Source organism: Homo sapiens, chromosome 1 (assembly GCF_000001405.40).
Source record: "Homo sapiens chromosome 1, GRCh38.p14 Primary Assembly".
NCBI classification, from domain to species: domain Eukaryota; kingdom Metazoa; phylum Chordata; class Mammalia; order Primates; family Hominidae; genus Homo; species Homo sapiens.
In genome coordinates this window covers 54,260,936-54,277,184 of record NC_000001.11, presented here as the reverse complement: position 1 = coordinate 54,277,184, position 16,249 = coordinate 54,260,936, and the positions used below count along the sequence as shown (strand labels likewise).

General features: G+C 53.6%; 1 protein-coding gene across 17 annotated transcripts in view, besides 3 other annotated features; it reads left to right on the top strand.

Annotated features, from left to right (window-relative positions):
• The window catches only part of SSBP3 (single stranded DNA binding protein 3), a 188,059-nt gene that overhangs the window by 136,306 nt on the left and 35,504 nt on the right, over nt 1-16,249 (top strand). The gene's annotated exons all lie outside the window — the stretch shown is intronic.
• Nucleotides 1,554-2,122: an enhancer, noted in NCBI's record as "H3K27ac-H3K4me1 hESC enhancer chr1:54740736-54741304 (GRCh37/hg19 assembly coordinates)". NCBI's record gives its function as "activates a minimal SCP1, AML or CMV promoter by ChIP-STARR-seq in naive H9 embryonic stem cells {active_cell/tissue: H9 hESC(naive)}" and the evidence as "EXISTENCE:reporter gene assay evidence [ECO:0000049][PMID:30033119]".
• Nucleotides 3,833-4,401: an enhancer, noted in NCBI's record as "H3K27ac-H3K4me1 hESC enhancer chr1:54738457-54739025 (GRCh37/hg19 assembly coordinates)". NCBI's record gives its function as "activates a minimal SCP1, AML or CMV promoter by ChIP-STARR-seq in naive H9 embryonic stem cells {active_cell/tissue: H9 hESC(naive)}" and the evidence as "EXISTENCE:reporter gene assay evidence [ECO:0000049][PMID:30033119]".
• Nucleotides 13,107-14,099: an enhancer, noted in NCBI's record as "H3K27ac-H3K4me1 hESC enhancer chr1:54728759-54729751 (GRCh37/hg19 assembly coordinates)". NCBI's record gives its function as "activates a minimal SCP1, AML or CMV promoter by ChIP-STARR-seq in primed H9 embryonic stem cells {active_cell/tissue: H9 hESC(primed)}" and the evidence as "EXISTENCE:reporter gene assay evidence [ECO:0000049][PMID:30033119]".

The window sequence follows — 16,249 nt, the reverse complement described above, 5'->3', positions numbered from 1 at the left end:
ATATCCTCTTTGCCATCCCTGATGTAGTCCAAGCTTCTCATTTATAGATGGGGAGATGAAGTCACAGAAGGAGAAAGGACTGTGGTTATGACTGTCATTGACCGTCTCTGATATGCAAGGCATGGGGCTTGGTTCCAGGCTCGAACTGAATCAACCATAGTCTGCCCACAGGAGCAGCCAGCCTAGCAGAGAGACTGACAGGTAACCCATCCCCTGTGGCAGGACACAGGAGAGGCCTGTCTGCCAAGCTGAGAAATCAGGAGGGCATTCCTGGAGGCAGTGCAGCCCTGGCTGAGATGGTGTCTAGAATGAGGTGGTTGACAGGTGCTCAGCGGGAGATGAGGCTGGAGAGGTTGCCGGGCAATTGTTGAAGGACCTTGTTGAGTATGGGCTTGATCCAGTGGGCAGTGGGAAGCCAGGGCAGCACTCTGGGCTGGATAATGTCTTGGCCAGATCTGTGTTCCACAACAGTTACTCTGCAGTTGTTCCAGTGGCTTCGTGGAGACGGGGACTTGAGCACTGTGGCCAATGCTCAGAAAGTAGCTGACACCTTTTTTTTTTTTTTTTTTTTTTTTTGAGACAGAGTCTCACTCTGTCACCCAGGCTGGAGGGCAGTGGCGATCTCGGCTCACTGCAACCTCCGCCTCCCGGGTTCAAGTGATTCTCCTGCCAAAGCCTCCTGAGTAGCTGGGATTACAGGCGCTCACCACCATGCCCGGCTAATTTTTGTATTTTTAGTAGAGATGGGGTTTCACCATGCTGGCCAGGCCGGTCTCGAATTCCTGACCTCAAGTGATCCGCCCACCTCAGCCTCCTCAGGCTGGGATTACAGGCCTGAGCCACCACGCCCGGCCAGGAAGTAGCTGACCATCTTGATGATGGATGCTGCGTGACAGAGACCCAGCAGAGGTCACAGGGTTAAAGACTGCCTTCTCTGGAAAAGTCCTGGAGGAGGGGTCCCAGCTCCTGTTGCCAAAAGCTTAGCTCATCCTGCTTTGAACATCTAGATACTTGCCATCTTGGTGAAGGATAGCAGGGACTTTCCACCTTGGTGAAGGATAGTAGGGAGTATTTGACACATCCCCTTTCCGTTGAGTCCTCATTCCTGCCAGCCAGGCCCACCAGCCTTAGAAAGATGTTGAGGTCCCTAGAGAACTCTTCCCATTGGTTATGGGGAGAGAACGAGAAAGAGCAAACAATGTGTGTAGCCCAAAAGCCGGAGATATGACCCAGACAATAAGAGGGGAGAGAAACTTGCATGACCCAAAATCTTTCCCCATCTCCTGCAGAAGTAGCTGGGGTTTCTCTGGGAGAAGGGCAGCCTCCTGAGGGCTCTGATGGCTGTCTTGAAGTATCTGAAGTTCTGTTACGGAGAACCTGCCATGTACTCAGACATGCCCCTGTGAGCTCTCAGCCCCACATTCCAAGTCCTTGAGAGAAAAGGGAAGCCAATTTGAATCATTGTATGGAAGACATTTCTGTCATCTGCCAAATTAATGATGAAGTGGTGAGCTGTTTGACAGTGGTGGTAACTAAGCAGTGGCAGGATGCCCAGTGGAGAGCCTTGGGCACTGTGAGCTGTGGGGTGGGTGATGTGTTCACAGGGAGGGTCAAAGCCCAGTAAATGAGAACATACCCCTGGCAGCAACTGGGGCAGTTCCCAAAAGCTGAGCCAAATGCTGTCCATTTCCTGCCCTGCTCTCCAGCGGGAAGCAGGAGCCAGCAGAGGGAGCGGACATTCCTCCTGCCAGAAAGCTGCTGCAGCAGGAAAGGCCTCTCTTTGCTGACGAGGACAAGTTTGTGACAAGGGGAGACTTGGGAAGAATTAAACCACCTTGTTTGCTTTTGGTTTCCGAAGCCTGTTACTAGTGGAAGCTTGGTGGCGGGGCGCTGGGGTCCCCACCCATCTGACAGATGGTGAAGTGAAGGCAGGGCAAGGGAAGGAGCTGAGTCCCCGTCATGTGAGACCCGGACGGGCTTGCTTGGTCGTCCCTTAGCCCCTCGGTCAGACGTGGTGTGTAAGGGCAGGGACCTGTCAGCCACCCAAGAGGCAGCCACGGACCCTGCCCTCAAGGGGCTCATAGTCTGGTGGAGGGGGCAGGCAGTGACTGAGTGCCACGCTGGAGAGGTTGACAGGAAGAATACCGTTGGGGCCAGGCACAGGGCACAGCCAGTATGGCTTGTCTGGGGAAGCCTCTCCGAGGGGGTGACATTTGGGCTGAGGAGGAGGAGGCAATTGGCAGTGAATTGAGGTGGGGGAGTGTGCCAGGCGAGAGGGAGCCTGTGCCAGGATGTGATGGGGCAAGTTTGGGGTGGCAGGGGCCTGGACTGCAGGCTGGGGTGTGGGGATGGAGCCAGGAATAGACACAGGAAGGACTTAAAGTTGGGGAGAGCCATGAAAGGTTCCTAATAAGGGGAGCAACGCGATCCCAGGAAGAGGTTCCATGGCCTGGAGGGGCTGGGCCCTTGGCCGGCTGGCCAGTGTGGAGTCCAGCTGCGGTCCCCTCTGGAGGTGGCCATGGCCCGAGCAGGAGTGGCGGCTGGGTGAGACTGAGGGCAGCTTTCCTGCCTGTGACTGGTGGCCTCTAGTGGATGTTGGAGCCTAAAGGAGGCCCAGCTTACTGCCCACATAGGTTGGGGGCAGGAGGCAGGTGTGACGGTGAGAAGCCAAGGCTGGTGCCTGCTGTCTTAGCAGACGCCTTACCTGGGGCTGCCCAGCCTAGCCCTCCCCACCCACCCCAGCCAGTGCTCTCAGGCCTGAGAGTAGAACTGTCTGACACCCTCTTATGTTAATAGTTGCTGGTGGAAGCACTCTCCAAGTCAGAAAAGCTGTTCCCTGCTGTGATTTCATTTGATTCTATGAGATAGTCCTAAGAACCAATAGCATTCCCACTGTATAGATGAGAAACTGAGGCTCAAATTGGCCAGTTGCTCAGGAAGACAGGCCTGGGTGGGGCGGTGGGATCCGCAGCTTCTTGATAACTGCCTGTCTGTGGGGAAATAAAACCCCCTCCCCATTCTGGGTCTCGCCTGGCCCTCTCTGCTTCCCTGCAGGTGGGGGGAGTCTGTCTGATAGATGCAGCCTCCTACTGGGGAAGAGGACAGAGGTGCTGTGTCAGGGGTGGATGTGTTCACTCCTCCAGGGGACAGAAGCACCACCCCCTCCAGCTCCTCCGCCCTGCTGTCCGCCTCCAGACTGACAGAAGGCAGGGTCACCCCTGCTGAGAAGGATTAGAGAGGAGGTGGGGCGCCCCAACTGCTGGGCTCCAGGCCACAGTTGGAGGTGGGGAACCACTGCTCTTCCCCACCCCTAGGCCCCACCTGTTCCAAACTGACTTGGCTCTGGGAGCGGCAGCCCCTCCTCTAGTTACTGTGATGAAGCCCCCTATCCTGGGAGTGGGACACTCTGGGATACCAGCCCTGCTGCCAAATTCCTGTGTGTCCTCGGGGAGCCAGCCTTCTCTCTCTTGGCCTTAGCTTGCTCCTCTGTCCAGTGGGGGGTGCTGGCCACTTGGAAGCACATGGGTCCGGGCTGGTCCTGCCCTCCACAATCTCCTGGCCAGTGAAAAGAGGCCTGGGGCAGAGGAGAGGGAAGAAAGCCTTTTTTTGCTTGCCAACACCTCCCCTGCAAAGGTCAGGCTGTGCTCCCTTCCCTGCCCGGCAGCCAGCCTGGTGCCTGACGTCTGCCCAGCGGCAGATGACCGGCACTGGGGCTCCTAGCAACAGTGGACAAAAGGTTACTCCTGACGTGCCAGGCTGCCTCGGCGGCGGCTGGCTCAGCTCAGTCGCCCTCCCTCTTAAATAGGAAAAAAAGTTGTGGCCCTGACTTGTGTGCGTGCCTGTGTGCACGCATGCCTGTGTGCACGCATGTGGATATGTTTGTGTCTGCACACTTGAGCCGCCTCTCCCTCCCCCTCTGAAAAACGTGAACTCCACATGTAGCGCCGTAACTCTCACTGATGAAATGGAAAGTTGAACATAAATCAATGTCTGCCGCCCAGTTAGCTATGCATCAGCAGGCAGCGCCTGGGAGATTTGCTCGGTAACAAAGCACCCAACAGCTGCTTGGGCCTTGACTGCCCCCTAACGCAGAGCCAGCCCCATGCTACAGAGCCCAGCTGGGCTACACACCACGTCCTCCTGGCCTCCCAAGTGCAGGATGGGACTCTCACTCCTCTCTTCAACCTTTTGAGGGAGGGAAGGGGGAAGGAGTCTCTGGCCTCTTGGACTTGGGAGGCCTGGGCTCTGTTCTTGCTGCTGCTCCTGGCGAAGCCCTCACTGGGGGTGTAAACTGACTCCCGAATCTCTGGCTTCTGTGGATCTGATACTGGAAGGATGGGTGTCAGTAGCTGCGTTCACCTCATGCTTATTAAGAGCTTGGGCTGGTTTATCCTTTCTCCTTTGGACCTGAGTTTTTACTTTGCGTTTTCTTAGAATGGAGTGATTTTTCCCTGTGCCTGGAAGCTGCTCTGCCGCAGGTCGGCAGTTCTCCCAGCACTGTACCGTGGCTGCTCCCTCTGCCCCCACGAGGTCCTTCTGTCCTTCATAGGGGGATGGGAGTGGAGACCCCTGCGGGGCTGGAGAGTATTTTTGTTTTGTCTCTTCATAGCTGACTGAGGGGTGGACTCTCTTGCTCCTGTCCCCACCTACCTTCTCAGCAAATTGTACTGAGGTTTTTCTCCCTTTTTTTTTTTTTAAAAAAAAGGTCAAATTCCTTAGCCCTTGTAGCAGAAGAGGTTTGAGGAAGAGAATTCCAGCAGAATCCTGTAATAACACGCCTCGGCATGACATGGATCAGGATAGACCCCCTGAGTAAGCTCATGCCACAGTGGGAGGAACCTCCCCTTCAGGGGAGTCTGGGCTGGGCTCTGGGCCCAGGCACTGCCCTGGGGGTCAGAGGCCATTCCAGCATCTAGCTCAGTGTGAGGCACTGTTCTAAGTGCAGGGAACCACAGTATGGGGTCAGGTTCATGTCCTGTTTCTGCCTAAGTTAACTCCCAGGCAACCTCTCCCTGAAACACTTCCTCTCCCAAAGAGGGCCTTAGAATCCATGAAGCTCCTAGGCCAGGCCCACCTGTGATCCTGTAAACTTTTCTCTCAGAAAAGCCCCATCTCAGGCTAGGCATGGTGGCTCACGCCTATAATCCCAGCACTTTGGAGGTCAAGGTGGGCAGATCACCTGAGGTCGGGAGTTCGAGACCAGCCTGACCAACATGGTGAAACCTCGTCTGTATTGAAAATAGAAAAATTAGCCAGGCATGGTGGCATGCGACTGGAATCCCATCTATTCGGGAGGCTGAGGCAAGAGAATCGCTTGAACCCAGGAGGCAGAGGTTGCAGTGAGCTGAAATCACACCATTGCATGCCAGCCTAGAGGACAAAGCAAGACTCTATCTCAAAAAAAGAAAAAGAAAAAGAAAAGAAAGAAAAGCCCCGTCTCTTGTTTCTTGCTCAAGACCAAATGGTGGGAAAGAGACTGGGGACATGGTGGGGTAGAGGGGCACACCCTTCATGAAGTGCCAGGTCTGTATGCAGCACAGGCATGGGGTTGGGAGGGCACCCAGCTCGGCCGTCAGGGAGGCCGCAGAGTGGCTGTGAACAGGGTCTTTGGAGCACGATGGCCCTGCACTTGGCTGGCAGTGTGATCCTGGCAGTGACCCAGCCTCTTCAGGCACTGTTTCCTCAGCTGTGCTGTAGGAACAGTCGCGCAGCAAATCCTACCGTGTCCTTTTTGGAGCTGTGGTGAGGATTGACTATACATATAAACCTATATTCAGGCCACACGTGGTGGCTCATACCTGCAAATCCCAGCACTTTGAGAGGCCGAGGCAGGAGGATCGCTTGCAGCCAGTTTGAAACCAGCCTGGGCAACATAGACCCTGTCTCTACAAAAGAAAAATTAAAAAATTAGCGAGACTTTGTTGCATAGGCTTGTAGTCCCAGCTGCTCTGGAGGCTGAGGTGGGAGGATGGCTTGAGCCCTGGAGATTGATACTGCAGTGAGCCTCGATCACACCACTGCACTCCAGCCTGGGCAACAGAGCAAGACCCTGTCTCAGAAGAAACTCAGAAATCTACATTCATGTCAGTAATGGTTTATTATTACTGCTGTGGAAAGATGACTGGGCTTCAGGATCCGTGTTGACCAGCAGCTAAGCCTGGAGCTCCCAGCGTGCCAGTCAGCTCATCTGTCCCTTCTGTCTTGGACAGGGAGGTGCTGGGTCCCATCCCTCCTTCACCTTCTGTGAAGGTGATCCATGCTTCCTGGTGGCCTCTGGTGTCACACAGCCTGGGTGGGCACATGGGTTTCCTCGAGAAAGTCAGTTCACCTCTCTGAACCTCAGTTGCTTCATCTGATAATTGGGGGCGATGATAGGCCTTGACATCTTAGGTCGGCTGCGAGAATGCCGTGAGATGATGTGTATGAAGCCCCACCTGGTGTCTGTGCTGGGTTGGCTCTCGAGACTTTAGAGTTGTTGTAGGCGTGTCTGGGACTGTACTGTTCTAGAGGCCCAGGTCTTTCAGTTTACCCAAGAACAAGAGCTGCCTCAGGGTTTCTCCTCTTTCCAGGAGGGAGTCTTAGGGGCATGGCACAGCCTTAGTGACATTGATGTGTGGAAGAGGTTCTGGGTATTTTTGAGATCCGCTAGCTTTTTAGTGTTTAACCCTTCAGTTTGACCAACATATTTGACACACCTAAGCACCAGGCCCTGTTTGGCCCTTTAACACGTTACTTCCCTTCATCTTGTCCACCTGATTTACCTCCCTTAGCCCCTGCCACCTTGACTCCTAGTGCCCTGCTCCACCGCACAGGAGCTGCCGGGGGAGGTCGAGGCTGGGAGGCAGGTGTTGTGTGTCTGGGACCCTCTGATTCTTTTCCTCCCGGGCTTGCTACCATGAGTCTGATGGAGACCAGCTCTGACCTGGGGAGCTGGGTCTTCACCTGTGCGCCTGCATTCTGTCACTGGTGAATTTCACCTGAGTATCATTTGAGTTTGCGTTCCCCACCTGTAAAGCAGAAGCAGCTCTCCCTGGTTCATCTGGGAGATGAACACTTGTACCAGCATAAGGTGTGTGGTCAGAATGAATGGCAGATGGGAAATCCGACAAGTGCTCCTTCCCAGAGGCTGACATCTGGTCATTCCTTCCTTCAGCATACATTCATAAGCCACGGCTTTCTGCCCAGCCCCGCTGTGCTCCCAGGGTTGGGAGGTAGGGCAGCCTCTGGCCCCCACACAATCATCGTCCACAGGGCAGACCTAGGCTAGGCTAACCAAAGGTGAGCATGTGGCTCATTCTCCTCTGTCAGGTGCTCTTCCTACCAGTGGTGCCCCTTCATTAGAAGAATGAAGTCAGAGCTCTTTGTGGTCTAGCCCTGCTACCCTCACCCCACTGTTGGACCAGCTGTTGTTCCACAGGGCAAGCACCAGAGCTGCTGGCTCTCAGACCTGGCCTCTGCCCCTCCATCAGTCTGCTGGGGATTGTTCTATAGGCTGCAGCCTTCTCCTCTCCCCTTCTTGAAGCTTCTTCCCTCTCAGGTCACTTTTATTCAAGAATACTTTGACAAAGTCTTGCCCTTTCCTTGGCCCAAGGTCAAAAAAGTTATGTCCAACATGCGTATCTAGCTAAGTTCCGATTCGCTAGATTAATTGTAATAGCCAATCCCAAGGAACTTACTCTGGAGCTGTAGAAAAGGTCCAAGAGCTTAGGAACTTCGGTCTGTTTTGGGAAGCAGCTTTCCCTTCCTGGACCATAGTGTCCCCACCTGTAAATGCAGCAGTGTTAGAGAGCGTGGATATAAGAGTCCAGTGGTGAGCAGAAGAGACCTGGCCCCTGTCTTCTGGGCCGTCAAGGGCTTTGGGGGCAAAAGAAATGGGGGACTACTTCTAGGGCCAGATGACTCTGGTGGAGTTTGCTGAAGAGCACCCAGCATTGGGTGGAGTTTCTCTTGTTGAGGGGCATGCTTCCAACCCCAAGAGCAGCTCAGATTAGGACAGCTTACGTGTTGTAGGCAAGAGGGGTAGCTCCGTGGGCTAATAAGGAAGGCTGTGTGAGGTAATAAGGAGGGCTGAGCCAAAGAAAGGAGGTTCCTGAAGGATTCCACGAGGCGGGGCAGATTCCGAGCCACAGCTTGGTGTATTAAGAGCTACCCTTGGTAAGGGCTGAACTAAGTACTTGACTCCTGATAGTTAGACAGTTCTCTGTGAGGCAGGTAGGGTGACCACATTTTACAAGGGAGATAAGTCAGTTTCAGAGGGAGCTATAGGCCGAGCTCCAAGCCCCATGAATCTGGGGCTTTTCCAGCAGCACCACAGAGCTGCTTCTCATTTTCCGTCAAGTTTGCCAGGTATTGTTGCACCTGCCCGTGTGACTGTGGGCCCGACCTCCCACATCTGTGTCTCCCAGAGTCCTGGTTCTTCCCCTGCTCCATCCTGTTGCTTCATCTTAACAGAGGAAGGAGGAAGAGGTCTTGGGCCATTCCCCAAGCTCCTCAGGGAGGAAAAGGCATGAAAAACTACCGAGTTTTCCAGGGGGCTGCAAGACTGAAAGGGAAAAACTTGGCAGACTTTGCTGTTCCGTTCTTAGCCCTCTTCTGCTCAGTGGGCAATTGGGGTTGAATTAGGGGCATTCTGGATTTGTGGTTTCCAAGGCTTTGCAGCCCCCCTTCCTAGTTGGATATGACGAATCATTACTTTTTATAACTGTCGGGGGTGAAGGGGCAGGGCAGGAAGGCTGTGTGCACCCGTGTGTCTGGAGAGCTTAAAAGTGGAGCAGGAATTCTCTGGGTGGATGAGGCAGTGCCTTCTTAATATGCACATCACCTTCGCTGTGTTGTCATGATTAACAGTGGAGCCTGAGCGCTGGCGAGCGGTGGCGGAGGCCGGCGGGCAGAAGTGGGATGTGTCTTTGCAGCACTATCCATTTTCAGAGCTGAAGGAAATCTGTTCTGGGGGGAGAGGATCAGTTTGGCAAGGCCACGTTCACCCCATGTTCCAGAGGACTGGAGTGGGTCTGGATCCCGGGCCCATCTCTTCCTCTCCAGGCTTGTCTCTCCTGCACCAGTAGAGGTCAGGGAGAGAGAGGGGTGCTGTCTGGACTCTCCCCGTGGGGCACAGGATTCCTAGCTTCTGTGCCAGCATTAAAGAAGGCTGGGAGATGGGCATGGTGGCCCATGCCTGTAGTCCCACCCGCTTGGGAGGCTGAGGTGGGAGGATTGCTTGAGCTCAGGAGTTTGAGGCCAGCCTGGACAACATAGCAAGACCCTGTCTTTAATTTTTTTTTAATAAAGAGAGCTGGCTGTGCAGGGCTGGGATGTGACTTAGCGGGGCAGCAGGTAGGATGGAAGGAGCCACTCACAGATGGGAATCTAATAATTAGTCTCCAACTTGAGAGAGGGTATAGAAACATCTTTGGAAAGGAACAGAATAGATATGTGATTCCCACGATACAGATCGTATTGCCATTTCCTTGGTCAAGCCCCCAAATGTTAGTATCCTTCCCCTTGGCCTGGTGGTCCCATCCCCACCATCTTGTGCATGAAGTCCTCTAGAACCACACCCAGGCCTGCCTTTGGGCTGCATAAATGCCATCCTCACGGTCCAGAATCCCCTTCCTTTTCTTCTCTGCCAGGAGACACCTGTTCATTCTGCAAGTCCTGCCTAAATGTGACTGTTCTGTGGTCACTGCTCCCTCACTCCCCAGTGCACTGGTATCTCTGCCTCTATTAAAGTGTTGCACCCTGGTCTCACTGGCCAGTCTGGAGCTCTTTAGGGAAGGGCAGAATACTGCTTGTTCACGTGTCTCCGGCACTTAGCTCAGGGTACTGGGACCTAGTGCCCAGTTAGAGTGACTGCCAGATAGAGGTGGGCTCTGCACATATGTTATGGATATTGGGCTGTGTTCTTGAAAAGAGTGCCCTGTTGTATGGATACATGTGGAATACACGGAGAATCTCCAGCAGGAAAGCCCTCCTTAAGCATTTAGTGGCTGGAGGCAAAGTCACGTCTCATATCCTGGCCCTTCCCAACCACAGCCATTCGAGGTGGAGCCTTTTCCTGGCTGAGATGACCCCAGAGGATCTAATTCTTTGTGAATTCACACCACAGGAAAGGGTCCAAACGGTTTGAACCTGCCAAAAGAACTCAAGGCTGGGATTCAAGCTCCCAGAATATTTGTGCTGGCAAACAAGGGGAAGGGCTTCTTCCCCAGCATTGTGGCAAGAATGAAACTGGGGACACCATCAGCAAGGAGGGTTGTGACCAGCCAGCTGGACGTGAGCGCTGGGTTTTGTGTTCCGATGATGCACTATCACTGTATTCGGGAGCAGTGGCCAAGAGACCAGGGCTCATTGATTAGTGAGCATGGAGGGTGTTGGTGTGACAGCCAAATTCAGGTGTGCTGATGCCTGGCCAGTGCTCATTCTGTTTGTCCTCAGGGGCATAACATCTTGGCTCTGATAATTAATGCCTTAATGTCACTATACTTCAGTTTTCCCCCTTTGTAAAATGGGGTCAACTTTTGCTTCATTTGTCTTACAAGAGAAATGTGAGGTTAAAATCAAAGTGTAGCACTGTTTTGTTTTTCCTTGAGAATTACAGAAGACTCCACTTTTTTCCCTCTTCAGTCTTGAGGACCATCATCTAACTCAGGGGTCTGCAGACTTTTTCTGTGAAGGGACAGCTAGGAAATAATCTTAGACTTTGTGGGCCATCAGGTCTTTGTAAGCAGCCGTGGACAGAACATGAGTGAGTGTGGCTCTGTTCCAACAAAACTTTATTTGCACTGTGTTCCAATAAAACTTTATTTACATTGTGTTCTAATTAAACTTAATTTATAAAAACAGGTGGCAGGCTAGTTTGACCCTGACTTGACTGTAGCTCAGCCTGGTGGCTGTGCTCTTGGGGTCCTTGTGCTGCAGCCAAGACCAGCCTTTGCCCTGGTATGCAGCTTGGTGCGAGGGACCCAGCCTAGACTTTGAAGCAGGTTGGACCTGGAACCAATGAGATCACATCTCTGAGGCTCAGTCTTCCCATCTGTATCATGGCAGTCGCAGTCCAGGCGCTGGAGAAAGAGGCGCTGGCAAGCAGTGTGTGGAGGAGCTATGCGTTAGGTTTTGGACGCTGCCTATACTTTTCGTTTGCCATGTTTCCTCCCTTTGTTTGGGAAACCATCACTTGCTGATTCTGTTCCGCCAGGAGGCAAGTGAGTTTCATGCCTGGTGAGCAGAGCCTTCACTGAGCGCCCCCTGTTCACGCCTCAGCAGGGCTGTCCAGGGAAGCCAGATTCCTAATGGTGCAAACCCTGAACCCTTGCTGTCTGCCCAGTGCTGCCCTGGCTCCTTGGAGAGACTGCTAGGAGGAAGGGAGGTCGGCTGGGGCCTTTGCTCACACGGAAATCAATGAACCATTTGCTCACCTTTGCAAGGAGTGGACCTTGGTGGCTGTAAGGATCCCTGGTATTTATGCAGAGATGAGTATGAAGGGGAGATGCAGTACATTCCTGCTTTCTCTAACTGGTAACTTCCCCACCGTCCCAGGAAGATGGTCCACACCATTGCCAGACCTCTAAACCCAGCCCTCTCCTTGTCCTCTCCCCACAAAGGGCCATTGATTGTCATGGGCTCTTCTGCTGGGTAGCCAGGAGCCCCACCTGACTGTGAGCTCTCGGGGACCACGCAGAAGCCCGGGCAGTTATTCCACTGCTGTGTGGCCCAGCTCAGCCCCCTGAGGACCCACCTACCGTGCATGTGCCAGGCCCATGCTGGGTGTGCAGGCGGGCAACTTAGTCACCTTCTGCCCTCAAGTTGGTGTCTCAGCCCCAGCTCTGGCCTGTAAACACACACACACATACACACCCTACATAACACACACACACCCACACCCTTCACACAACCCCTCTCCAAGCCATGCCAAGTTCATTCCCATGGGTTGAAATGAAGAAATAACGTTTCCGCCAAAGACTGCATGTAAAATTGACTTGCTTTCCCTTCCTCCCCCCATCTGGTCAGCTTCCCTTTCCTTGGGGGCTGTGGGTGAGGCAGACCATGGTGACAGATTCCGGATGTCCATGGCACCTGAGCACACCTTGACCTTCTCCCCAGACTGAGCTTACGCCATTTTCTGTCGGTATTTGGGACCAAGGAGCAAATTGGATTGTCTATCAAGTGCCTTTTGCTGTGTATAATTATTGTAATTTTGTATTCACTCAATTAAAGCAACACACCTAACAGGCAGATTACACAGGCCGCCAGTACCGCAGGTCCTCTGCGTCCCACTGCTGGTCGAGAAAACCCACTCCTTCAGCCTCTCCAGAGCAGTGGCCGGTGTCCTAGGAGTCAGGAGGGACGAGGATGTGTGGAGTGTTTTATCTCTTAACAACCTAAAACCTCAAGTCCCCTTTCCTCAGCAGCCTTCTGTGAAGACAAAAGGCGGATTTGGCTGGGTGGTAATGGCGTCTGTCTGGGTAGCTGTCAGCAGTTTACAGAGAACTCTCACAGCTTTCGTGACCCGTGAGAGAATCATAGCCTATACTCCCCACCTCGCTTGAGGGATGCTCTGCCAAGACCCAGGGCGACAAGGCCAGGACTCCAGCCCTAGTGCTTTTTGGGTTTTGGGACCAGTGCCTTCAGCACAGGTCACAGCCTGTCCTCACACTTCGCCTCCCAGGCATGCCTCTGAACCCACAGAGCCAGGACTTGAGTCTCAGCTTTATTTCTCAGCAAGCCCATGACTTCTAGACAGGTGTAGGCAGATTTGAGGAATATGGGTGGCATTTGGGGAAGAAGCAGTGAGTTTGGGGAATACTTAACACATAGCTTATTTTCTCCTTTAAAAAATCGGTGTAGGTTTATTTTGTTCTTGGTTTGGTTTTGTTTTGTTTCGTTTTTTTAGGCAGGTCTCACCGTCACCCAGGCTAGAGTGCAGTGGCATGATCACAGCTGACTGCAGCCTCCACCTCCCTGGCTCAAGGGATCCTCCCACCTCTGTCTCCTGAGTAACTGGGGCCACAGGCGCACACCACCACACCTGGCTAGCTTTTGTATTTTTTTGTAGAGACGGAGTTTTGCCATACTGCCCAGGCTGGTCTCAAACTCCTGGGCTCAAGCAATCCTCCTGCCTCGGCCTCCCAAAATGCTGGATTACAGGTGTAAGCCATGTGCCCAGCCTGTTCGTTTTGCTTTTGTTTTTGTTTTTGTTTTGGTTTTGGTTTTGGTTTTAAGGAGCTATCTTCCATCCAGCTCCAAGAATCTTTAGCTCAGAAGACCAACTTGGTCACCCTTTTGGTACTAACTTTTCTTCCTGGTTCCTATGAGCCCCAAGGTGTTAGATGTGCCTGCCCCGGGGCTTGCTGGGTCTTGCCCCTTGCCCATGGCAGTGTGGTCGCCTGCTGCCTCAGCCCTGCTGCTCTGTTTGGGCCCTGCCCCAAGGTACCTGTGGGGGTGAGTGGCCTGGCCTGGAGGGGTCCACATGGCACCCCCAGACATGGAGTAAGGAAAGGTTCTGTGTTTAGAGAGCACTTGAAGGGCTGGAGCAGGAAAGCCTTCATGAAAAAGGATATGTGGCCTTCAGCAGACCTGGTGAGATGAGGCCAGACGTCAAGCTCCTGCTTTCCTTGTAAAGGGCAGGCGAGTGGCCACAGGAGCAGGAGGATGGGGACCAGGACTGGGGACCCCGTGTGCCTCACACTGCCAGCTGTGCCACAGCCCTGCAGTGTTTGTGGAATAGTCCTCATTTCCTTTATGAGGGCAGTGAGGCTCAGAGCCGTTGGGAAACTGGACTCCGAATGAACCGGAGGAGCTGGGATTGGATCCCAGGCCCGCATAATGTGGGCGCTTCCTGTCACACCACAACCCGCCTCTCCAGGACGGCTTCAGATGAAGTGCAGGGACTTAGCCGGAGCGTGCGGGAGGGCTGGGGGTCCTGCTGATGCTTCTGAAATGCTTTTCCGCAGAGTCCTTGAATCCGTTTTACAGTGGGAATGCTCTGCTCCCCACGCTGTCAGTGTGGGTAAAGGCTTTTTCACTAACCATCAGTGTCCACACTTCGGAGTTTTCGTGAAGTGGCCCAGTGTTTGCCTCGATCACACCCATAACAGAGCCTCCTGGGCCCTGCCTAAGTGGCTCTCAGGAGCTGCTGGATGGAACACTACCCAGTGCTGAAATTACAGGAGAAAGAATAACAAGAAACTGCGGGAGTTAGTTGTCTCCACTCAGAGATCTTGGGGCCAGCTGAGATGGAATAGCGAGTCCATTAACAGGGTCCAGGGCAGCTGGAAGGCTGGACAGGAAGTGGGCGTGTTTCCTGCCTCCTTTTCCCAGATTCAGGAGTGGGGATTTTCCCCCATGTTGAGGTCTACCCCAGGGCTTGGTCCTGCTGCCATCACCCTGCAGAGGCAGTGCAGTGCAGTGGAAAGAGCTCTGACCCGTCAGTGGACCCCAGTTCTCATCCCAGTTCCGGTTGGCTCATGGGGGTACCAGGCCTACATGCTGTGGCCACACTGGGCCTCAGTTTACCTGTCTGGGAGTGAGAGGGAGGTAGGCATCACCCTCTCTTGGAGCCCCTGGCAGGTTAAGCCAACACTTAAGCTTATTTCTCTCTGTGTAATCGTTTTTGTCCTTAGCCTGGCAGCTCCTCAGGGTCAGGACAAGTCTGATGTGCCTCCAGACCCCAGCATGGGGCTGGCTGGCCACATAGGAGGTCAGCACCCGGCATCTCGGTGCTCTCCCAAGTCCTTCAGCCTTGGGTTCATTCCACTTTGCCCTTTGCTTTCTGCCCTGACAGATGACACGGAGGTGCTGCTCGCAGTCTTGTAGAATGATGGGCTACCCAGGACCCTGTTAGACTCTAGAATCAGACATCGAGGCCTGGCTCCACCACGTAATAGCTATGCAATCCTGGAGTGCCTTTATCTTTCCAAGCCTCAGTTCCTTGGCAATAAAATGGGGCAATTGATCCCTTACTGCGAGGAGTCCGGGATTAGATGAGCTTATGTAGGTAGAGGCCACGCTCCCTGTTATTGTTACTCTCACGGCCCCATTCCACTGTCAAGAAAATGGAAATGCAGTCAGGGGCAGAGCCAGGATTCGAACCCAGTTCCTTCCAAACCCTATTTCTTCATCTAAAAGAGATGCAAATGGGAATGTGATGTTTTGAGGAGAGCCCTGGGGTAGAGTTAGGAGATGTGGTTCAGATGCCAACTAGTTTTCTGTGGTCTTGGAGAGGTCACACCTCTGTCATGGGCCTCTCTTTTCTCCTCCCCTGCAAATGTTGGAGGAAGGGATGATAGAATCTGTCAAAGCCACCTAACAGGTGACCCCTGGGCAGATGCCGTTCTCCCTAAGCATCTAGTAAGGACCCCCAGCCACCCTAGTCTAGCCTGATATTTTGCACACCTTCAGGGTGCCATCTGCCCTGATCCACCGCATCCCTGGAAGGTTAATTAGGCAGCCTCTGGAACCGAAGGCATCCAGCTCTCATGGAGGGAGATGTTCTAAATGGAGCTGGGCCTGCTGGCCAAGCAGCCCTCCAGATGCACCCATTTTGGGTTCCTCAAAAGCTTCCAGCAAGTGGAAGCCTCACCAGAGATGTCCTGCATGGAAAAGCACATCAGTATCATCAGCTTTGAGACTCCCTCCTCCTCTCACCTTCCACCACAGTCCACTCTGCCTGCCTGCTGGGTCTGTTCAGAGTTCGGGGAAGAGAGCGGCCCCCGTCCCACCAAAGGTCAGAGCCCTCAATCTAGATCCTTTTTCATTGTTGTCTGCCTCCTGTGTAGCCTTTTGCCCGAGTGGGTAACAAATCCAAAAGAGCACAAAGTCCGTCTTCTTCAAACCTACCTGTGGATCTCTTGTTGAGAATGCAGGCTGGGAAGGAAGACGAGAGCACTTTTTGTGGCCTAATAAAACACAGGGCAGCAGAGCCCCTGACTCCTCATAGAGATGGGCAGCTCATCTGTCATGTTCCTTGCAGAAGCAAATGCTTCCACAAACACGGATCTCTGCCCGTGAGACTGCTAGGCTATGTGGGGTTCCTCCTGTGATGCCACAGGGTCTTAGGGACACAGCCTAGACACAGGGAACGTAGTGACGGAGCTCCGGGCTGAGTGGAGGTAGCAGAGACACAGAGGAGTTCTCTGTGGATGTGGACGTGGGTGGCCCGTTGGGAAATGGCAGGCGTCTGGCTCTGTGCCGAGAGGTGGGCAGGCAGAGCCTGTCAGCGCTTCACTGCAGGTGGGAGAGGAGCTCTGTGCCC